Consider the following 22,319-nt stretch of genomic DNA (forward strand, 5'->3'; position numbering starts at 1 on the left):
CTCTCATATATGAATGGGTGTAATAGTTCTTACTTCATGAGGTTGTTAGTGCCTGCCACCTAGGACATAATGACTATTAGTTCACAGCAGGCCAAGGCAATAATTGTTAGGTGAACTTATAGTAGAAATCTATACAGCTACTGCCAGCTACTTCACTCTTGCTCCAGAAAGGAGCTGTCAGGATGTAGGCCTTGTGCCCACTGCGCTGAGGGGTGATGCAGGCTGTGAAGTCACTTTGGACCCTGGCTTTTGGTCTCAGGCCACAGACCTGACCAAAGGTTGAGTGTAGTCCTGAGTTTAGACTGAATATTTGGTCAGGAAGGCTTATTTTGCTCATGGTCCAAAGGACAAGGGAAATAATGTTTCAGAATATAGGAAGAATGGTACTGGCCTGGCAAGGTGTCATTTATTTGCTATCCAGCCTGCTGTAAGACTGTGTTAGAGTGTGTGTGGGTATGTGTGCATGCTAAATAGAGCTGCCTGCATCCATCAGGGGTCTTGATGGCCAAAGCATCTGCCTGCCCTGTCTCCCTGAGAGGAGGGGACCCAGGCTGTGTTGCCCTCGTGTGGGTGTTGTTTGAAGCCATAGAAGTGGCAGGATGTGGAACTTTGGAGATTGCTCCAAAATTGGACAACACCCCTATGCTTCCTCTTGTCTCTGGTCAATTTGAAAGCCTAGAATGAACATCTCTACCGTAAGCCATAGACGAACGCCCTGTGAGAACAACAGTTGTCAGTGCTGTGTTACCTGATATGGGTGGGTCTTAACCTTTTTTTGGGAACTCTCCCCCCATGGAATGCACATACAAAGTTTTTTGGGGTTTTTTTGCAGACTCTCACTCTCTTCAGGCTGGAGTGCAGTGGCGTGATCATAGCTCACTGTAGCCTCGAACTCCTGAGCTCCAGTGGTCCTTCCACCTCATCCTCCCAAGTAGCTCAGGCTACAGGCACGTGCCACCATGCCCAGCTAATATTAAAATTTTTTGTAGAGACTGTTGCCCAGACTAGTCTTGAACTCCAGGCCTCAAGCGATCTTCCCGATCTTCCCGCCAGCACACCTGGCCTCACAAAGTTTTGCATACTGTGTCAGGATTTACCAGCTCCTTAGGCAGCTGGGGCCCTTTGTTTAAGAACCACTGGCTGAGAATAAACCTAATAAAATCTGTGTTTATACAAAAGATCAATTAAGGGAAGATAGGATTTTGCAGAGATTCTTCTTGCAAAGAAATGTAACTACTAAGCTTCCCTAGTGCATTTTAAGTTGGAAAAATAGCATATGCATGTTTTCCTATTTTTCATAAAGGGAGGTTTGCCTGTTTTGTCATTGAATACATTTTAGTTCACTCTTCTGAGGGGACATTCCCATTTGATGAAGTCTTTTATCCACTGTTAACAACAGTGGTGCGGAGCCCCCAAAGGAGCCAGACTAGAATAAGGGAGCACTTTTCTGCCCTCAGGCAATTTCTCCTGGGAATCTCAGTGCTCTGGTGGACTGCAGTATTTCCTGTGGAAGGAGGTAAGTGTTTGCAGGGCTGGCCAGCAGGCCAGCGGGGTCCATGTTCTGGAGCTGTTGTCACAGGTTGTGGGTTTCTAATAGTCTTAATAGTTTGAGGAGTCTCAGTGGTGATCATTTGAGGCAGGAGAAGGAATTTCCGTGGTATTAACTGAGGATTTGCTGCCCCTCAGCAAAAGGAAAGCGGCAAGGGAGGTGTCAAGGGCCATCGTCTTCTGGCTCTCAGTGAGTCTCAGCCCCAAAGTCATGCCCTTCTCCATTTTATGTATTTGGCTACTGCACAGACTTTCTATGAGAAAAAGGATTCTTATGTTATTTAAAAATCAAGGTTTTAATAACTGCCATAAATGTGTATACATATATATGTATATATGTATGTGTGTATATATGTGTATATGTATGTGTATATATGTGTATATGTATGTGTATATATGTGTGTATGTGTGTATGTATGTATATATATGTGTATATATGTATGTATATATGTGTGTGTATATATACACACACACGGAATTTTAGCAAATGTATGCTTTTAACATGCCTAAAGTTGTTTTTAAATCCATGATCATGTTGGTTCCCAGCCATATTCCTACCATTTTTCCTTAAAGCTTAACCTAAACCATATATATAGGATGAAAAAAAATTAGCACAAATAAGTATCTTTGGGAAAAGCAGCCCTTTTGTTTCCTTCAAGGTGGGATCCAGGGTTTTGCATAGAATGGAATGTGCAGCACTGAAGGTTCAGAACCAGGGATCATGTTTGCTCAGTTTTCCAAACTAGCACTTAGGGATTGTTATGGGAATTTGGTTTCAGTCAGTTGGCCATGTGCTAGGGTGAGAGGTTGTGGAAAAGCTACAAGTTTTTTGCTGGTCACTGAATTTCAGCAAGGCGTGTACCCCGTGTGCCTCTGTGTCTGCACGTGGCGGGTAAGGGAACTGAGATTTAAAACAGTGCATGAGAGTTCTGCCTGTGCTCAGCAACTGAAGGGCACCTGGGAAAGGTTCATTTCCTTCCCTTTCTAACAGATGAGGTGCTGGAATTACAGGTTTATTTGTTCTAGAAAATGTACTGAGGACCTTCTGTGTGCCATACTATTGGCTAGGAAAAGGTGGAATCTACTAGTAGAAAGATGTTTCGGTGCCCAACTAGATGAGGAAGGATGAGAAGTGGCAGGCGGTGCTGCTGTTGATAGGACACAGTGGAAGCAGAGCATTCGGTTTGTTGTTCAGTGTTTATTAAGTAGATTCAGTCTTATATATGATATACAGATTCAAAAGGAAAAGGATTCCACATACTTATGAAATCAGTGCATTTAGCAAGTAATACCATGGAGATAACAGCTCGATTAACAGCTCATTGGTCTTTTGTTAAGTGAGGGAGAGAGGGAGTCGGCCTGTGCTAGTCATTCCACAAACAAAACAGAATTTAGTCACATCACGTAGAGAAGACACATTCTAAGAATTAAAATATTAAGCCACATTTACTGGTAAAACTCACTATATAGAACACAAATAATTTTTATAGAGAGCATTGAGGAGGAAGTCCTCACCTGCTTAGAAGAGCCACGTTAAGTTGCATAGGTGCATATCTGTAAAAATATAATTTAGAGGTGAAGCCATTAATAGAGTCACCTTTAAAAGTTGGTGCCATCCACTGTTTGCCTTAAGTGCTTACTATCTGGAGCCCTGTGCCCCTCCCCGGAGGTGGGACCTCATGAAGGAGCTGCCCCCAGAGGAACCCTGAAGAAATGGCTTGTACTATCTGCACTGAAAGTCTTAAATCTCATCTCAGATATGGAACTCATGCTCTTCCAAAACATGTCTAAATTATGCCAGAGGACTAAAGACCTCTTGGGTTGTCCCTAAATCCTGGATGGCTTGATCCTGAAGGCAACATGAGTCATTCTGACCTTCCCACTCCCAGGCTGCCCAGGGAAGAACTACATTCATCCCACAGCTCTGCAGCAAAGTCCTGCCTTCCCTTTTCCTCTGTCCATGCAGTTACCCACCAGCAGCCAATAAGAGGTCTCTCTTCTGACTCCTGCTCCTAAATGGACCACATAATTGAGGCATATGGGCCATCTACCAGGTGGAAAGTGTTTTTCAGCCAATCTGAGTTCTACGTGGTATAGGTTTTTTGTTGTATTTTTAGGTGGAAACGTAGGTAAAAAGTGAGAGGTTTTTGTTTGTGGCTTTGCTAAGCAGATGAGCTTAGTGAGGTGCATCTTCCTCCTCAAGAGCAAGTCTTGCAGAACACACAGGGACTGGGGGCATCTGTACATGTAAACAGTACACTTTCACTGAGTCCAAAATTAGGAGCAAAAATACAAAGGTTCACATTGGTCTTAGGTAGATACAGGCGAAAAAGGATTGAGCTGTTTAGCTCAGAAACAACAAAAACAAAGTTTCTAAAGCACCACTAAATTATATAAAAATCAGACCATGGACGGATTGAAACTGGTATTCTGGTGAAATACTTTACTATTTTGTAAAAAGTTTTACAAAAAATTACAAATTAAAAGTATCAACCCTCTGAGTTCAAAGCAGCATTTTGAAAATGAACTGGTAGTTAATCCTGTAACCACCCTTAGAGTTGTAAGTGGCCCTTGGGAATAGGGATGGATGGGTTCCACCTGTTTGAAATCCTCGAAAACCCTCCTAACTCCCTGCCTGTCCCCCTCCCCGTCAGCACTGTCCTTGGGAATAAACTGTCCTTTGTAAGAGTGGTGACGGTAAAATGAATTTCAGATGGGTTACACACACTATCACTTGTCTACCTGATGATCCACCACTAAGACCAATGCCCACTTCTCTGATGCTACCCTTCTTGTGGGATTAGCCTCCTGCAAAGACTCTGGAATTGGAGTATCCTACTCTTGCATTTCCTTTTTAACTTAGGATCCCAAATGATCACTTTGTGCCCTGAGGCCCTTCAGAAGATTTTTAAATGGCTGTGGGACAAGGGCTTTGGGAGCTCCTTTTGGGAGAAGGCAGTCCCTCTGGTGAGGGTGAGACAGCAGTGAGCTTAGTTCATCAGAACCAGCTCTTTGGTGCCCTCCAAGTCGGGAGTAGGGGGAAGGGGTTGAAGCTGCATCTTTTAAAACAAAAGCAAAACAAGTTCCCTGACTGAGCCAGCTAAATGGAATCCTGTTTCCATGCAGAAACTTGCTCCTGATTCTGCCATCTCTAGGGCTTCAGGTGTAGTTTCACTGGAAAGGAGGAGCCCACCCAAGAGGTGGGGTCGACATGATGAAATCCATTGTCCTGGAGGGGCCTGGGAGGCCCAATGGACTTTAACAACATATTCTTTCCTTTCTCTTGAAAACACATTGAACCTACGCTCTTGCCGCAGTACTAAGGCAGGCTGGAGGGTGGTCAGTTCCAACAGCTTGAACTCAGAAAAACATGACTTCAAACTGTAGCTTATGCTGATCTTTAGATCTAATCCTTGTGTGGGTAGGGGGAGGGAGCCCCTTCCCCAGTCTTTCTCACTCCTGTCTGCCAAGAAATGCAAACGGTTCATGTCTAGCTTGGGTACTGCCTCTGGGAGGAGAAGTGACACGTTAAGTAACTGATACCAGGAATTCTAGGGTGGCGATTGTCTCTGCCAGGTTTTAACATTAAGATTTTCACAAATAATTGCCTGGGGTAACATTTTTGCAAAAGATCTTACTGATTACTTTGTAGTATTGTTCACACACAAAAATAAATATTTACACGAATTCAAATGTTGAGTAGTACTGAGCAGGTGGGGCCAGATGTGTGGATGGCTGGGGTGTGGGAGAGGCCTTGGGCACTGGAGGTTGTGCTGTGCTAAGGGTGAGTCTCAGGTGTCCTGGCCCTGACCAGAGGCCTGGGGATTGGTCAGATGGAAGGCAGAGGTGGTGTGGCTGGATGGGGTATTGGAGGCCACTTGAGAGATAACGACCACCCCCAACCTCTAGGGGCCGGAAGTAAGCACGGGGTGGGCACCCTACCTTTCAGAGTTCTGGACCTGAGGCAGGATGGGGCATCCTCACTGGTGCCCCCCCCATCCCTCCTTGGGGGGAGTCTGCCACAGTGCCGGGAGGCAGTGGCCACAGCTGCAACAGGCAATTGGCTGCAGAAAAGCTGGTTTGGGAAGGGGTGCCTGTTCTGGGAGCGAGTGGCTCTCCGTGGCCATCCTAGGATCCACTCGGCCCTGGCTCCCCTGGGGCCTCTCTGCTCTGAGGGAGGAAAGGCAACAGAGGGCTTCTGCCAGCTCTGGGCAGGGGCGGGCAGCAGAGAGCTGCTGTCATGGCTACGGAGTGTTGCACGGAGAGGCCCTGGGGGCCTGCTGAGGTCTGGGCGAGTCCCTGGTTTAGCAGCACTGGTAGGTATTGCACTGAGCAAGAGGAAGTGCCTATCAATCAATCAATCAGGGAGGAAGGAAACCAGGCCAGCTTTTTCTTTTTGCCCTTTTTCACACTCCAGGGATTATGGGTTTCTTCCAGGACCGGCCCCTCCGGAAGGGCTGGTCTTAGGAGAACCCAAGTGGCTCCTCCACTTCCACTGATCCCTTTACTCCAAACATGGCGCAAGGGGATGGGAGCTGCAGCCCGCCCTGGAGCTCACGGCTGCCTGATAGCCGGGGCTCACCCTGAAGAAGTGGCCCCTCTTGGCAGGAGTGAGTCTGAGGGGCCAGGCCTGTGCACAGAAGTTCAGACCTGGCTCCTGGGCAGCGGGGTGTGAGGGCAAGGGCCCTGCCAACCGGCTGCCATCTCCCAGCAGTCCGTCCTGTCAAGCAGCTGAGGGCCAGAGCTGGAGGGCTGCAGTGGCTGGTTAGGGACAGGACGCTCTCTGGGTTCCAGCTCCTGGACACCCAGTCTGGACTTACTTACCTCCCAGGCAGACACATTGTGTGGGGGAGTTGGGGTTACAGCTGTTCAGAACAGGCTCAGGGCACATCCTGGAAAAAGCCCACGCTGGAGTGTGAGGTAGAATACAGGTGACCATGGACTGGGGCTTCTGTAGAATGGGGTCGGGGTGCCTCTTTTGTTTTGCTTTGCCATGGGTGTGGGTGAGGTCCTCCTGCTTGGCGTTGCCTAGGGAGGTGCCTGGTGGTGTCCCTGTGGCAGCACTGGGATCTGCAACAGGATGGCCTGGCCAAGGGCTAGCGGCCACAGGGTGCACCAGGCATGCAGAGGAACAGCCAGCCTGGCACCTGTCCTGCCCCTACTGGCCCCAGCCCACATCAGTGTAGTGATATGGAATGTTAGGTATGGGGATACATCCTTCTGATCAGACAGACACAGACTAGCAATCTGTACAAACACAAAAGAATCCATTTTCAGAAAAATAAATTACTAAGGGGAGAGGAAGAAAGGGTCCACTTTGCTTTTCTCAATAAATATGCAATTCTGCTCACCTAAGACTTGAAAGGTAATTATCTGGGGGTGGGATTCTAACATCAGGGTCCACGAAGGTGATTCTAAACAGAGCTGCAGCCCCAGCGCCTTGTCAGGGGAGCCCCCAACCCTTCCAGAGCTGCCCCGTTGGCCTCTTCCAAGCAGGTCAGAGCACCCGTGTGGTGAGATTCCAAAAAAAAAAAAAAAAAAAAAAAAAAGTGTCCTTGTGCCCAAAGTCTCAGGTGCTTGGAGTGTGGCTAGAAACAGCTCTTTTGGATCCCACCTCTTTCAAAAACAAAATGTACCAACTGGTGAGGCAGGAAGCCAGGTCCAGGCTGGGACAGCCTCCTTCCCTAGGGCAGTGCGCTCCAGGTGCCGGTGGGGTCAGTTCTGCTGTAGGATGAGGTTTTCCAGTTCATCTGCAGAGCGCAGCAGGAAGGCAGCAGACTCCCGGTAGCCCGCGATGAGCTGCCGCACGGCGCTGATCTCCGTGGGGCTGAGCTGAGCGGTGGGCACGGGCCTGCTGGTGCTGGTGCTGGAGGGGGTGGGCGTGGGGGTGGTGGAGGTGGTAGAGGCCCCGCCTTTCATGCTGAGGTCCGTGGGCCCTGTGGAGAGGGAAGTAGGGTGAGAAGGGAGCAGCCACCCTGCCTGGCATCTGGGAGGTGTACCTTCCTTGGCACTGTCATAACCTATGGCCTAGTGCCCACTGTGAGTTGGGCACTGAAGTCCGTGGCTCTGGTCCATCTCCCTGATGGCTCTATCCCTAGTGCTTAGAATGGGCCTGCGGGCGACAGGGTTCTCAGAGAATCCTCAGGGTGATCTTGCAAGGATCCGGTTTTAGGTGAGGAAGAGGCGGCCTTGGGGCAAAGGAACTCCTAAGATCTGCCTCTCCTCAGTGTGGTGAGCAGAGCTTGGGAATGGGAAATACTACTTCCATTGAGGAACTGTGGGACAAGTGCTAAAAGAAAGCCTCTGCCAGTGTGCCTAAAGGAGCAGCACCCATCTGTGTGCTCTTCCCCAGCCCAGACACCGAGGCTGGAAGGGGAGATGGTGTGCAGGAGACTCTGCAGGTAGGCAGGGGCCCAACACACCTGAGAGATGCGTGTGGGGAAAGCCCAGGAGGAGCTGAGAGTCGAGCCACAAAAGGCCAGGAGAAGAAACATCTGTGTGCCCAGACAAGAAAGGGGCTTCTGTCCAGCTGGAGAGAGGCCAGCTGCCCTGGTTGTCTGGGGGGAGAGGTACAGGCCAGACTGGCCAGGCCATAACTGCACCCCCAGGAGGGACCATGGCAGCCAGTGGATGGAGGAAGGGGCTGGGTGTGTGAAGCCTCTTTCTGCTAAGCCTCAAGCACCTCGAATCCCCCCTCCTGGGAGGAGTCCTGTGCCTGAGTGAGGTGGAGGGTTCATGCTGCTAGGATACGAGGGAGTGTGGGCCGGAACCATCAGGACAAGACTCAGACTCGCTTCTGGAGAAACTGCCCGCCCTTTGTCCTCGGATGATGGCAAAGAGGGAGCCTGCCATCTTTCAAAACACACTAGGGGTGTGCGTGTTGGGGAGGGGACCGCCAGGCCCTGTCCTCTCTTGGCCTTTCCCAAGAAGCTCCTGGCTTTGGAGTCAGGCAAGTGTGGATTCAAGTCCTGCTCTGCTACTTCATTGGCAAATTCTTTAACTTCTCTGGGCCTCAGAGCCCTCATCTGCCAAAACTAGGCGGCTCCTGCGAGCAGAAGCTGAGATGCCGGCTGTGAAACACTCAGCACAGGCTGAGGCTCCTTCTCAGCCCACAGGAGGCCTGACTGCCTAGACTGGCCCAATAGGGAAGGGCTTCCAAAGAGGTTTCAGGGCTTTCTGAATGGGCTCCCAGGAGACCTGGAAGCTCCTGGAATTTGAAAAGCATTCTACAAGGTGTTCGGCAAGAAACAGCCAAAGAAGAGAGAATCTGGGCAGGTGCAGGCAGAGCTGCCGCTTCCCTGGGAAGCCTTCTCTGATGCAGCCAGGTCAGCTTCTCTGTTGTCTGCCCTCCCCCTGGAGTCCCTTCCCCACAGCTTTATCTTCCACGGGGGTGTGAGGCTCCCCCAGCTACCCTGAAAGTTCTGATGGTCACATTCTCTCATGATTGCATCTCCATGGCAGTTTTTATGCTGCTATGAAGAGAGATGGACAAGCTCTTGTCACGGGAGGTATCCAGACTGGAAGTAACATCTTGGGATAAACTATGGAAACCTGACTGCTGCTAAAAGGAAGCTGGTGCAGCCCCCAAATGGGGAAGGAAGCTGGAGTCTAAGATGGGACAGTTTGTCACATGGGGTTATTTCCTCTCCGGCCAGAGAATGTGGACACCAAGGAGGAGGTCCTAGGAACTATTTTCTAAATAGCGTCCTTGGAATTGAGAGTTAAGGAAACAGTTGAGTCTGTTAAAATCAAACACAGGGGGAAGGGGTTGGGGCTGTGTCTGGAAACAGCAGCCAAACAGGTGACTGACTCCCAGGGTGTTGTCACAATGCGGGACTGAGAAGCTTGGAACAGGAGTGCCTCTGCTAACTTCTGGATATTGCAGGGGATGGACCCAGAGGGATGCGGGGGAAGAGGGTCTGGTTCTCTCTAGGGTGGTTCTGGTCCCCTCTGCGTCATGCTTGGGAGTGGCCAGAGCCTCCTGGCATAGTCAACATGAGCAGTGGTCCCGGTTCCTTTCTTTTCTCCTCTCCCCAAGTGCTATCCTGTTCATGCCTGTGCTCAGAGCTTCCTCCCTTCTCTCCTGGGCTGTAGCTGAGGCTTGGAAAGGAGAAGGTCCCTGTTTCCTGCAGCTGATCTGATCTGGAGACACCCCCGTGTAGACTCTGGTTACAGCCAGATGCTCAGGTTGCCGAGGGACTGCCGTATGGTGGGTAGAGGGATAGGAGTGAGCATGAGTTACCCAGCACCCCAGGCAAGACAGGCCGAGCCTGATTCTATCTAAGCTGATTTGCATCTCCAGATGACAACATAATGAGCAAAGTGAGGAGCTCTGAGCCATTAATACGGCTGCCCGGCTGAGGTACCAAACTGATTGAACAATACTTGAAAGGCTGAGGCTGGGGAGGCCAGTGGGGCTGGGTGGCCCTGCAACCACGTGGCTGCCTGTTGTCTTCCTTCAACTGCTGGAGGATTTAAACAATGTTCTTCAAATGAGGTACTAGTGCTCAAGGACAGGGGCTGCCCCAGGCAAGGAGGTAAATGACCAGATTTCTGCGTCAGTGGCCTCCCCACCCACCATGAAGGAACCAGGGTATTCACAGATGGGAGACTGAGACCCCAGGATGCACAAGGGCAGAGCCAGCTGCCTCCCTGGAAGAATCATTCTCTGGCTGCTGTTTGTGCCTCTTGGGCAGGTGTGAACGGGCAGGCATGAAGCAGGCTCAGCCCTAATATGAGAGGCCCTTAGGAGGGTCAGGGGGACTTGGCAGCCGCAGCCCTGAAATAGGTCATGCTGGGTGGACACCAGGTAGAGGCTTGTCACCATCGCCTGCTGCTAGGAGGGAGCAGGCCCCAGACCACCCTCACCTCACCTGCTGAGCCCCAGACCCCCATGTGTAGGGGGGGCAGGGCTTTTCTTCCTGGAATGAAAGGAGCCCGCCTAGGACAGCCACTCCACCTCTCACCGTGCTGGCCACTCCGGCCTTAGCTTCAGGGATTAGGGCCAGGCGGCCTCTTATTTTAGGTTAAGAGGCATTAGGAAGGGATGAGGAGTTAAGCCCAGGCAGGAATCTTCCAGGGACCTGCATACACTTCCTGGTTCTGGGGGGTGGCGGGGGTCAAGGCGAGTGGAGGCAGCCTGGGCTTCCTGCCATGGGTGGGGACTAGCTCCCTCCCTTGCTGCCCAGGAACAGTGAGGGGTCTCCTGCAGCCAAGGATGGGGGCTTAGGGAATCCTCAGGCATGTTTAGCCAAGACCTTGCACCAGGGTTCCCCAGCTTACAGGTGGCACCTTTCTCCAACCTACTCAGGTTCCTCAATTCTTCCCTTCATTCCCTGGCTTCTGAACGACCCCCAAAGCACATGGCTTCTGCCTCTTGCTCTGCCCATTCAAACCTTCTTACAGGGGCAGACAGAATGACACAGACCACACAATTCACGGCCCTTCTGTGCTTAAAACCTAGCAGGGGCTCCTCCTGCACACAGAACACAACCCGAGTGCCTGGCCCAAGAGGTCCTGTGACCCACCAGGCTGACCCCACTCCTCCCCTGCTTCCCTTGGCCTCACAGTAAAGGGGTCTGAGGTTCCCCATTCCAGTTCGTGCTCACGGCAGCACCTGACTCCATGAGGAAGCCTCTGTCTCTTCGGGGGCTGTCTCCTCTAATGGTCTGTGCCCCATCTGCGCAGAGTAGCCTGGGGAGTTACCGGAAAAGCACCTACTGAATCACCCAGCTACAGGAGCGGAGCGAGGGAGCAGGTGTGCACCATCACCCCAGGTGTCTCAGATGTAGGCTCCATGAATGCAGGGGCAAGAACGGAGGCCCAGCACCCAGGTGAGGAAAGCTTTCACCTCACAAGGCAGGCCCTGAGCTGAGGCCTGGGGAGGGAGCCGCCCTGCAGGCCAGCGGGGCCACAGCTGGGCCAGGCCAGCAGCTGTCTCACTGAGCCTCAGTCGCTATGGGTGAGACAGACGGGGCTGCGGAGATTCAACTCAGGCCAAGAACAGGCCCTTGGCTGGGACTCGGCACCCACAGGGACCCTGGGGGAGTGGAACCAGTGAGAGGCGCCGGTAGTGAAGGTGGGAAGTGTTGGAGCAAGCGTCACTGGCGGTGAGAAGGGGGCGGTAGGTTTTTGCTTTAACCAACTGAGTCTCCTTCACCTTCCAATCTAAGGACCAGCTAAGACGATGAAGTGGAAGGGTGCCAGAGCCGCCCCTCCTGCTCCCTATGCTGTGAGGCAGCCCCTTTCCATCACTGGCCTCTGCTTCCCTCTCCCCATTCCGCTGCCCAGGGCTGCTCTGCAGACCCAGCTGGGTGCTGGTCGGGAAGCCAGAGCCCAGGCCTCCCCCGACTCACCATTACTGTGGTTTCCTGTTTGGAGGGAGGCAGGGGGCTGCAGGTTGCTGCTCAAGGCCCCGTACCCGCGGTAACTGTAGTTGAGGCCGCCGTTGGCGTACACAGGGTCCTGGGAGTAGGAGGAGGCTGGCAGTGAGTAGGTGGAGTGGGTGATGGCTGCGGAGTCCCGCGAGTGCTGCTTGTCCAGGGCTATGGGCTCATCCTGCAGAGGGGAGAGGGGGGCGCTGGGGAAACCAAGGGGCAGCTGGCCCCAACTACCATCCCTGGACACAAGGTGGATAAATGCTGCGGCCCCAGGACTCCTGGGACCCAATGCTGCGGTTTGACCTGTGGGATTCTGTCTGTCCCCTCCCCCAGCCACCTTCCCCCCGGGGGCTTTCCCCAACTCTGCTCATCTCCCTGTCAGCGTATTTGATCAGGGCCCTCTGGTCTCCAGATGAAGTCCAGGCTTCCGTATGAGGTCTGAGGAGCTCTGAGAACAACACACCTGACCTCCACCCACCTCCTCTCCTTGTCTTTGCCCTCCTGTTCCCCCTCTGCCCTTCTCCCGACTGTACCCATCACAGCTCCCTCAGTCCACACCCATATAAGGCCTGCCCTCCCTGGCTGCCCAGGAGCGGCCCCTGTAGTGGCTGCGGTGGCAGGTACCTGTGAGGACTGGTAGATCTCTAGACGCATCCGCTTGGCTGCCTTTCTTGTCTCGCTCTCACAGGCAGCTGCCAGGATGTTTTCTGCCATGGCCGAGGTCAGATGGGGTGGCGTGGGTCTGGTCTGCAGGCAGAACGGGGATGGAGCTAGCATGGGGCCCGTGGGGGCCCTGGGCTTGTGCAGAGACCCTGCCCCAGGGGTGGGTGGCACAGGGTGGGGTTTGGGCTCCAGCGCCTCAGTCTATGGAGCTGTGTGATCTTTCTGGGCCTTAGTTCCCTCATTTGCAAACCAGGGATTATGGTACTTGCTTCCAGGGCTCCTGGGAAGACCCTGGGTGAAGGGGCCCGGGCATCCTGGGAGTGTGGCAGGAGGTCAGTAGTGGCACCGAGGGAAAGTGTGGGCCAGGCAGGGGGGACTCACCATCTCCATGCCGTTCTTCTTCATGCGACGGCAGGACTTGAGGTACGTGCGGATGCGCTTGCGGGCCCGCTCCTGGAACTCAGGGAACTGCCGGCTGCAGGACTCGATGATGGCCTGGATCTTCTCCTTGGGCTGCTTGGAGATGGGCACCATGCGGTCCAGGTTCTCGTCCACAAAGAGACGCACAAACATCTGTGGAGACACGGGCCATGGGAAGGGCTGGCCCTGGCCTTGCCCCCATCCCACCCCACCTGTTTCCGGCCGGTGCTCACGTTGAAGGCCTTAAGACGCTCAGGGTCCATGCCTTCAGAGTCGTTCATCTTGTCATTGTCCTCATGGTCATCGTGGTCATCGTCGTCATCATCTGCCGTCGGGGCCCGGCCCACTGTCAGGTCCTCAGGGCAGCCGCTGACCTCGGTCTTGATGGAATCGTAGCTCCCAGAGCTGTAGGGGGGGGACTAAAAGGAGGGCAAGAGGCAGAGGGTTGGGCCAAGCAGCTGCTCAAGCCCTTGCTGGGTCTCCTACAGGCGGTGAGCTTGGGGACCAGGGTGGCACGCATGCCCTGCTGCCACGAGAGCCATAGCTGCGAGGCCCTGAGCAAGTCACTCCCCTCTTCTGCTCCCTTCATCTGTGCAATGGGGACAGCAATGCTACCACCTCCCTCCCTGGGCTGCCGCAGGGAGGACCGACTGCAATAGTGTATGCAGAGACCTGGTTCCCGGGGCTGCTGAGCGCTTAGGAGGGTGTCAGCTGTTTCCTCAGCAGAGGCCAACACCAGGACCTGCCACGTGTACAGGGGAAAGGCAGACATGGAAAGGACTCCCACCACCCGCCAGCCTCCTCTCGTGCCAAGATATATTTTGGCTTCGGGGTTTTCCTCCCTGATCCCCAAGGGGCTGCAACCCCAAGTTGACAACCGAGCTGTCACCAAAGCAACGAGCATGCTGTCTGTCGGGAGGAGGAACAGATGCGCTGGGCGAGGTAGCCAGCCAGGGCGACAGGTCCGTTCAGCAGGATGCGTTCCCGCAGCTCCTGAGCTGGACTTCTCCTGTCTGCCCCCCACCCAGGACAGCACAGTGGCCCCTTGAGAATATGCGGGTAGAAAGGGAGAGGGAACCGGATCCGGCCTCCCCCAGCAGTCTCCTGTCCTCCAGTAGAGAAGGGCTCCAGCCCTCTGCTCCCACCACGAGTTTCTCCCTGGCCAAGCCCCTCAACCATCTCTCCTTAGGAGCAGCTCCCTCTTTTCCCCCATGCCCCTCCATCTTCTCATCCTTCATGGCTCAGCTCCCACACCACCTGTCTCCTGCCCCTGCCTCGGGGCACCGCTCTGGGACGGCTGAGGACCACTGTTGCCTTTCGGAAAGTTTGTGCCTTCGATGTGTCCTAAGTACTCGTTCAGATCGTGACTGACAGTAGCCTGGGGACACTGTCCCTGCCCTCAAGGAGGTTGGCATCTAGCAGGTAAGGCAGGCTCAGGGAACAGGTGGCGGTATGGTCAGACCCTGTGATGTGGCAGCATGGCCATGGCACAGCCCGGAAGGGAACAGCACTCACTGAGGAGCAAATCCAGGAAGAAGGGCATTGCCTGGCACCTGGTCCCACAGCACGGCCCCCGCCAGGCCTCTCTCCCTGGGACCAGGCCCGCAGGGGTTGGTGCCCTAGGGTCACTGGCCTGGTGCCTGTCTCTTCGTCCACATACAGACTTGGATAGGGGCAGGATGCCGAGGGCCCCCGCTGGCTACCATAACTGGCCGTGTGGCCCCAGGCAAGCCACATTCCCACGCCACTCCTCAGCCAAACCCTGAGCCAGGGCCAGGGCAGACAGATGGAGAAAAAACTAAGATAGGAGCTGCTGGTGGCGTTCCTGCTCTCATCTCACTTCCCTGGGCCCCCCATGTACCCTGTGGCCACAGTGGCAATGGCTGCTGAACACAACTCACCCCCTTCATGGAACAGCAGCTATGCCTGTCCCTTGGACCCAGGCAAAGCCTGCTCTGGCCAGAACCTGCTCCCAGCCACCTGTGCTAGACACATAGCAACAACTCAGCACTGAGCCCATGGTACAGAATGTCCCCACGAGACATTCCAAATGAGGCAGGCAGTAGCACCTACTCCACTCTCTCTGCAGAAGAGAAAACAGGCCCAGAGAGGGAGAAGAGCCTGTCCAGAGGTGTAAGCTCCAGGAAGGCACCTCTGGCCCCCGGGCCCAGGTTGGAGAAGAGGCACTACTACAGGAAACCTTAGTGGCCCGGAGGCAGCTTGTGGAAGTGTGGGGGAGGCCCCAGGAAGCAGGGGGGATGCCCACTGGTAGGGGTACGTACTGTGCCCACCCTTACCACCGTCCATCAGCCTAGTCAAAGGAGGAGTTCCACTGCCCACATCCCTGGGCCCTCGCCCTTTTTTCGCACGACCTATAAAATGGGGACAGGCACGCAGACAAACCAGGCAGTGGGAGGCCTCGTACCTGGCTGTGCCGAAAGTGGCCACTTGCTGTTATCCCCAGCAGATGCTGTTCTGGGGGAGGGGGATGGGTTGTGGGGATGCATATCCACCTACCACCTCTACCAAGGCAGGGGCCGTCAGCTCCACTTCACAGGCTCGGAGAAGGGGGCCTGGCTTGGGGGCACACTCCAAGCCATCTCCCATTCCAGAGCTTCACCAGGAACCGAACACATACCAGCCACAGCCACCACCCTGGCTCGGTGTCACACACATGGGCTGGCTCCAGCTAAGCTCTGGGCGTATACAATTTCATTCTCGCCTCGCGACAGCCCTTTACAGAAAGAAATGGACTCAGCCCCCAGCCCCACACACCTCGGGGGTGGTCTTCACCCCGTATTTGACGCGGCTCCGCAGCCCGTCGGCACCGCAGCCATCCGAGGGGTAGGAGGCTGTGCCAAGTGCCGTGGCCGGCGGGAGCTTGTCACACAGGTTGATGGGCTGATCCTCGGCGGCCGTGGTGAAGTCCATGGGGGCCACGGCGCCGTTGCCATTCATCTCGGGGAAGGCAGGGTCGCCCTGCGTGCTGCTCGACGTGGATGGGTTCAGGGTGGAGGAGCCATTGCCGCTGCCACTCTCAGAGGAGGAGTCATCTGGAATGAGAGGCCTGGGTGTGAGGCCCCACCCAAGGCACTGTGGCCACTGCAGCCACCTCGGAGTATCCCACCCTGTGTCCTCCTCATGAGTGTCCCTGGGTTGGGGTGAGTGCTGCTACCCCACCTCAGAGGCAATTTGCCCCAGCCCACAGCCTCAGCTGAGGCAGCCACAGGGTCCCCTCTGCCAGAACAGAGGGGCCATCAGGAGGGGTGTGGCCAGGCAGGGCTGTGCAGGGCATGGAGGGTCTTCCTGCACCCCAAACTCGCAAGCGTTATGTCCAGGCTTAAGGGAGACCGAGCTCCAAGGGTTTGGGAGTGAGTGGCCTGTCAGAGGGCCCTGGAGGCCCTCGAAGCCCGGCCAGGCTCTCCCTTCTCCCCAGCTCCCAGGACCGCACCTCCCACCCACCCTGCTCCTGCTGCCGGGCACTGCCTTGCAGCTTCGAGCTCTCAGAGCCCCTGCCCACGGTGGGCCCTCAAATGTCTCCTTCCTCTGCCGGAAGCAGGAAGGATGGCTCTACTGTGACCTCCAGCCATTCACTCCCTCCTGTAAGCAAGCCCAGCCCTGGCAGCCTAGGCACAGGCACGGTGGCCCCCGAATCTGCGCTCCGTGCAGGCCCCACGGCCTGGGACGTGCAAAGCCGGGGCTGCAAGGTCTGGGGTCTGCACGCGGCCCCCGAGTGGGCCTGCCCGGCGTCTCAGGGTGGGCAGCCCCGGCAAAGCACTGCGAGGGCGCCCCCTGCCGCAAAGAGCGCGGCACCGCCAGCCTGCGGGCGCGGGGGAGGAAACTTTAACCAGGGGACCAGACAGTTCCAGATACATTCCAGGCCTCTCTGCCCACCCAGCCCCAGCCCCAGCCCCGGCCTCCTGCTTGCTCAGCTGAGACGGCAGAGGCTGAAGCTGCACGGGAACTCCCGGGGTCACTGTCAGGTGAGCACCCGCGAGGGTCCCGGGGAGGTACGGGTGACCCTGGCGGCTCCACACCTGCACCCAGAGTGGGTGGGGGAGGGGTGGTCACAGCGGGCCCTGCCGCCCCTTCCCCCAGGCCAGGGTCACGCCGGACCCCACCCCCACCCTCCCAGCCGGCAGATTATGAAGATTTAGTCCCCGGTGCTGGGCACTGGGCACGCGCACCTCCAGAGCGTCCCCATGGCGACCGAGCGGCTCTAGCGCCCCAACCAATTGCTGGCCTCCCGGCTGCCCGGGGGCGGGTCCAGGCTGCCCATCATGCAGCCAGGCCGGGCAGAGGGGGATGGGAGGCCACGGCGGCGCAGTGCACCCCTCCCCCTCGGCTGCAGCAGGTCCCCTGGGCCAGGCGTCCTGTCCTCCTTCGGGCAGCCTAGCTCCACCACTCCCTCCATCCTCCCGCAGGGCAGCTCCGGGCTCTGCTCAAAGCCCGCCCATAGCTGCCCCTCACTGGCTGCATCCTCGGAGTCCCGGCCCGCGCTGGCTGTCCCCGGGACCCCACAGCCTACTCGCGCCCAGTCTGGAGCCAACACATTCCCCAGCATTTTTACTGAGCACCTACTGAGTGCTGGCCTGGAAACAAAGTAATGACTGCAACCAAGGTGCCAGACCTCCTGGGGGACAGATGTGCCTTACTCAGCCTCGTGGGTAACAGGGAAGGTGAATTGTGAGAATGGGGGTGCCCACTTTCCTCCACCCGGGAACCAGACCAGCTCCTCATGCAGCTCCCACTGGCTGCTCTCCAGCGCCCAGGCCACCCACATCCCACCTGTGAGAGCCAGGCCTAATCCTCACTCCCCTGTCCCATGCTTTCCTGTAGCTGAGTAAGAGTCCGGCCCACAGCCACTGGCACTCTCAGTCCTGTGACCTCTGCAGTCCCCCAGCCCAGCCTCACTATCCTGTGCTGGAGCTCTGCAATCTGCCTGCCATGACACCTCCAGCTGAGCAGATGGCAGCCAGCCTTCAAGGTCTGGTTCCACACTGCCACTTCAGGCTGGCACTTTTCTCCACTGTCCCTAGGAAGGAGGCACTCACGCCTCCAACCCCAGCTTGCTGCCCGGCCCTGCCAGGGATCCTCATGCTCCCTTCCCCTGGCCCAGGGTCATCGTGAGGGCCATCTGCCCCACCAGGACAGACCCTGTCACCAGAGAAGCCCCTGCACCTGAGGTCCAGGAGCCTCCACGGGGGACAGGGATGACACCCATACTGGCTGGTTACCCACGCTCCCATGAGCTGCAGGGGGCCCATCCTTCACCCACCTTGCAGGTGCGACTTCACATACCGACACCACCCTCACAGGCCACTTGCTTGACCTTGGAGGGCCTTAGATTCCTCCTCTGGAATGAGGGGCTGCTCCTCAGTGGGCATCGTGCCTGGCACACAGTGAGCAAGTGGTCACTGCCTTCATCACAGGCACCAGGCCCAAGGCTGGCTGCAGTGCCACACCCTACATAGGCCCAGAAGTGACATCCCATCATCCCACCACCCACCTCCCAATCAGGTTTTCCCGAGAAGATGGACTTGCCCTCCGCCACTGTGAGCTCCAGAGACACGCTGCTCAGGGTGCTCCTGGAGCCTCTACCAGGTCAGATGCCCGGCACGGGGGCCCAGACTCTCCAGCTACCAAGACCTTTGCCTCGGGGCTGTGCCCCCGGCTGCCTGGCTGGGGATCGACAGGCACTAGTGCCGGGGCAGAACCTCCCCTAACTGCACTCAGATGCCACCCTGGTCTGGCCAGGGAAGTGGTTGGGCGGGTAAGACCCGTAAGGCACCAGGTGCTAGGACCTCGTATGGCCAAGTGTTCCAAGCTGTTAGAAGAAACTGGAAATCTGCACCATTATGTAAACAGATTTTAAAATATTGGCGACTCAGTTACATGGTTTACTTTTTTTTTTTTTTTTTAGGGTCTTGCTCTGTTGCCCAGGCTAGAGTACAGCGGTGCCATTAGGGCTCACTGCAACTGCTGCCTCCTGGGCTGAAGCGATCTCCCCAGCAGCGCACACCACGACGCTTGGCTAATTTTTTTTTTTTTTTTTTTTGAGATGGAGTTTCACTCTTCCTGCCCAGGCTGGAGTGCAATGGGGCGATCTTGGCTTACTGCAACCTCCACCTCCCAGGTTCAAGCGATTCTCCTGCCTCAGCCTCCCAAGTTGCTGGGATTACAGGCGCCCGCCACCATATTCAGCTAATTTTGTGTATTTTTAGTGGAGACACGGTTTCACTATGTTGGCCAGGCTGGTCTCGAATTCATGACCTCAGGCGATCCGCCCGCCTCAGCCTCCCAAAGTGCTGGGATTACAGGCATGGGCCACCGTGCCCAGCCTCGGCTAATTTTTAAAGTTTTCTTTTTTTGTAGAGAACAGGTCTCGCTATATTGCCCAGGCTGGTCTCAAACTCCCAAGGCTCAAACCATCCTCCCACTTTGGCCTCTCAAAGTGCTGGGATGACAGACGTGAGCCACTGCGCCCAACCCATTATTTATATTTTTAAAAACTTCGACAAGTAAATGGGTACACAAATGTGGTCTATTCATACGATGGAATAGTATCCAGCCATGAAAATGAATGAAGTTTGGATAAGCGCTGCAATGTGGATGATAAAAACACGAGGCTGTGGGAAACAGGCCAGACGGACAAGGATACTCAGTGATTCCACTTCTACGCAGCATCTGGAACAGGCAAATTCACAGAGACAGAAGGTACAGTGAGGCTCCACGGGCTGGGAATGGGCAGTTAGTACTTAAAGGGTGCAGAGTTTCTGTTGGGGGATGAACAAGCTGTGGAAATAACAGTGCTTCTGGAGTGTACACTTAAAAATGGCAAATTTTATGTCACACATTTTACCACACACACAGAACCCAGACCAAAAACAGCCCCTTTGCCCTAGTTTATAGGCTCTATCTGCCATTATCTCATTTTCTCATGCCGCACACACAGAGCCTACTCAGAGGGACAACATGGATCGCGAAAGCCTGCCTTCCCCAGTGACACCAAGGTCTCGCCTACCCCCAGCTCCGCTCAGGCAGCCCCGGCATGCCAGCCCCCACCCCACACAGCTGCCCCCGCGCCACATGCTCTGGGGGCTGCCTGCAACCTGAGGCCCATGTTTTGCCGACTGGGGAGGCCACAGGTTTGAGCCGCGGAGTGGCTGGAAGAGGCTACTCCACCTTCTGGAGCCTCCGTTTCCTTTCAGAGTGGGTCCCACAGCCGTAAAACACGGTTCTAAGGTGAGGATGGTGCCCGAGATGGGGCAGGAGCTCAAAAGGAAACCCCAATTCCCTGCACCCCACATTTTCTCACATCATAACTCACCCACTGCCGACGCACGAGGCTCCCAGACTGCAACGGGGGCTTCTGGGGATCCCGGAGCCCAGCCTGTGACAGTCTGAGGTGGGCCCAGTGAGAGGGCCACTGTGGGGATGGGGGCAACTGCCACCCTCGGAGCTCATGCTCCAGCAGCGACAAATCAAACCTGAGGGCTCCAGAGGAGACGGGGCTCTGAAGGGGTGTCACCAGCTTTCTGGCCCCTGAGCCATGGTGTCTCCCCTACTCTCGGCGACTCCTGCTCGCCCTTCTGTGCTAACCCGAGCACCACCACCTCAGGGAAGCCCTCCCTACCTGCCCCGATCTCCATCGTGGCACCGGCTGTGGGCCACGGCTCTGCAGAAGCCATCCCAGGGACGGTGGGGCGAGGGCTGAAGCCTCATGAACCAACAGGGGCAGAGGTGCTGCTCGGGGTGGGGTTGGTCCAGCCTGTCCCTCGGCCCCACAAGCAGTGGATTTGATGCCGGCTGCAGCCGCAAGGGCTGAGTTTACTCCAACTGGAAGCCAGGTCCCTCCTTTGGGCCCACCAGGCCCTTCCAGCGAGCCCCTATGGCTCACCCACCCGCCCCAGCTGTGACCCAGCCTTGGTACTTGCTGTTCCCTCTTCCTGCTCCACTCTGTCCCGGGTGTCCCCTTGGCGCAGTCCCTCACTTCCAGGGCTCTGCGTAAAGGTCACCTTCTCGGTAAGCCCAGCTCCCACCCTGCTCTGGCACACTGACCCCTCTACCTTTCTTTTCTTTTTTTTTTTTTTTTTTTGAGACGGAGTCTTGCTCTGTTGCTCAGGATGGAGTACGGTGGCGTGATCTCGGCTCACTGCAAGCTCCGCCTCCCGGGTTCATGCCATTCTCCTGCCTCGGCTTCCCGAGTAGCTGGGACTACAGGCGCCCACCACCACGCCTGGCTAATTTTTTATGTTTTTAGTAGACATGGGGTTTCACCGTGTTAGCCAGGATGGTCTCGATCTCCTGACCTCGTGATCCACCCACCTCAGCCTCCCAAAGTGCTGGGATTATAGGTGTGAGCCACTGCGCCCAGCCCCCTCTAACACAGTAGTATTGCAAGGAGAGGATAAGTGCTTGGAAGAAATTACCTATTTCTTCCAAGCACTTATCCTCTCCTTGCAATACTACTGTGTTTATTGTGTCTCTGGCCTGTGCCCAGCCTTCACAGAAGCGGCCCCAGCCCTAGAGACCCAGAGTTGGTGCAGCTGTATTGGGTGGGCCTGGATGGCTCCTGCTGCCCCCTAGATCACACCCCTCCCTCTGGTGGGGGCAACTGAGTCTTCCTGGGCTCGCCGGGGTGAGTGCATGCCCCAGGCCTGGCCAGTCAACCCATCACAGCAACTGGTAATAGCGTGTGACCAAGCTGGGCCCGAGGACATCACGCGGGGACTCCTGCTGCGATGGCTGGGAAGGTGCTCTCTACCTGGGGTTGCTGGGCCCGTGGTGCAGGGAGGCCCACGCTGGGGAAAGCAGGGCTGATAGGGGGCACAGATGATCCCCTGAAATCCATCTGTGCCTGCCACCTAGGAAGGCCCTAGAGGTTTTGGTGAGGGAGCTAATAATTTCCTTATTGGTTAGGCCGGCTAGAGGCAGGCTCACACCAATGGCTTGGTCTCTGAGTAGTCCAGGGTCTTCTCCCTGGCAGAGGCCAAGGGATGGGACCCGGGGGCTGGGATCGCTCTGCATGGGGACCTCACCATGACGCCCAGCTCAGTCCTGAGGAGGCTGGTACCCACAGGAGGGGGTGGTGCCCACAGGAGGGCTCATGCCCACAGAAGGGGCTGGCTGCAACCCTCACACCCACCCCTCACTGCACCTGGCCAGGAGAACGCGCCTGTCACTGTTTGGGGAAAGAAGGAAAAGAGAGACTGGGGGCAGTTGGGTTTTGATCCGATTGGAATTCTTCCTCCCACAACCCTTAAAAAAAAAATGGATTTAGGCCAGGCGCAGTGGCTCACGCCTGTA

At 55.7% G+C, this 22,319-nt stretch overlaps 1 protein-coding gene across 3 annotated transcripts in view, besides 8 other annotated features; it reads right to left on the bottom strand.

Moving 5' to 3' along the window:
• NOL4L (nucleolar protein 4 like) overlaps nt 2,727-22,319 on the bottom strand; it is a 142,275-nt gene continuing 122,682 nt past the window's right edge. For 2 of the 3 annotated variants that reach the window (NM_001256798.2, NM_080616.6), the window contains 6 exons: nt 15,786-16,063; nt 13,244-13,429; nt 12,972-13,163; nt 12,552-12,674; nt 11,904-12,105; nt 2,727-7,484 (listed from right to left, as the gene is read on the bottom strand). In NM_001256798.2, coding sequence (NP_001243727.1) covers nt 7,264-7,484; nt 11,904-12,105; nt 12,552-12,674; nt 12,972-13,163; nt 13,244-13,429; nt 15,786-16,063 — 1,202 coding nt within the window. In that variant the 3' untranslated portion in view covers nt 2,727-7,263. Of the gene's footprint in view, nt 7,485-11,164; nt 11,242-11,903; nt 12,106-12,551; nt 12,675-12,971; nt 13,164-13,243; nt 13,430-15,785; nt 16,064-22,319 lie in introns of all 3 variants that reach the window. The other variant, NM_001351680.2, reaches the window with a different exon arrangement.
• Nucleotides 5,090-5,751: an enhancer, noted in NCBI's record as "H3K27ac-H3K4me1 hESC enhancer chr20:31033225-31033886 (GRCh37/hg19 assembly coordinates)". NCBI's record gives its function as "activates a minimal SCP1, AML or CMV promoter by ChIP-STARR-seq in naive H9 embryonic stem cells {active_cell/tissue: H9 hESC(naive)}" and the evidence as "EXISTENCE:reporter gene assay evidence [ECO:0000049][PMID:30033119]".
• Nucleotides 7,664-8,165: an enhancer, noted in NCBI's record as "H3K4me1 hESC enhancer chr20:31035799-31036300 (GRCh37/hg19 assembly coordinates)". NCBI's record gives its function as "activates a minimal SCP1, AML or CMV promoter by ChIP-STARR-seq in primed H9 embryonic stem cells {active_cell/tissue: H9 hESC(primed)}" and the evidence as "EXISTENCE:reporter gene assay evidence [ECO:0000049][PMID:30033119]".
• Nucleotides 16,254-17,169: an enhancer, noted in NCBI's record as "H3K27ac-H3K4me1 hESC enhancer chr20:31044389-31045304 (GRCh37/hg19 assembly coordinates)". NCBI's record gives its function as "activates a minimal SCP1, AML or CMV promoter by ChIP-STARR-seq in naive H9 embryonic stem cells {active_cell/tissue: H9 hESC(naive)}" and the evidence as "EXISTENCE:reporter gene assay evidence [ECO:0000049][PMID:30033119]".
• Nucleotides 16,563-16,832: a silencer, noted in NCBI's record as "silent region_12784". NCBI's record gives its function as "represses an Ori minimal core promoter by ATAC-STARR-seq in GM12878 lymphoblastoid cells {active_cell/tissue: GM12878}" and the evidence as "EXISTENCE:reporter gene assay evidence [ECO:0000049][PMID:35858748]".
• Nucleotides 16,843-16,892: a silencer, noted in NCBI's record as "silent region_12785". NCBI's record gives its function as "represses an Ori minimal core promoter by ATAC-STARR-seq in GM12878 lymphoblastoid cells {active_cell/tissue: GM12878}" and the evidence as "EXISTENCE:reporter gene assay evidence [ECO:0000049][PMID:35858748]".
• Nucleotides 17,170-18,085: an enhancer, noted in NCBI's record as "H3K4me1 hESC enhancer chr20:31045305-31046220 (GRCh37/hg19 assembly coordinates)". NCBI's record gives its function as "activates a minimal SCP1, AML or CMV promoter by ChIP-STARR-seq in naive H9 embryonic stem cells {active_cell/tissue: H9 hESC(naive)}" and the evidence as "EXISTENCE:reporter gene assay evidence [ECO:0000049][PMID:30033119]".
• Nucleotides 17,323-17,472: a silencer, noted in NCBI's record as "silent region_12786". NCBI's record gives its function as "represses an Ori minimal core promoter by ATAC-STARR-seq in GM12878 lymphoblastoid cells {active_cell/tissue: GM12878}" and the evidence as "EXISTENCE:reporter gene assay evidence [ECO:0000049][PMID:35858748]".
• Nucleotides 18,086-19,001: an enhancer, noted in NCBI's record as "H3K4me1 hESC enhancer chr20:31046221-31047136 (GRCh37/hg19 assembly coordinates)". NCBI's record gives its function as "activates a minimal SCP1, AML or CMV promoter by ChIP-STARR-seq in naive H9 embryonic stem cells {active_cell/tissue: H9 hESC(naive)}" and the evidence as "EXISTENCE:reporter gene assay evidence [ECO:0000049][PMID:30033119]".

Source organism: Homo sapiens, chromosome 20 (genome assembly GCF_000001405.40).
Source record: "Homo sapiens chromosome 20, GRCh38.p14 Primary Assembly".
NCBI lineage: Eukaryota > Metazoa > Chordata > Mammalia > Primates > Hominidae > Homo > Homo sapiens.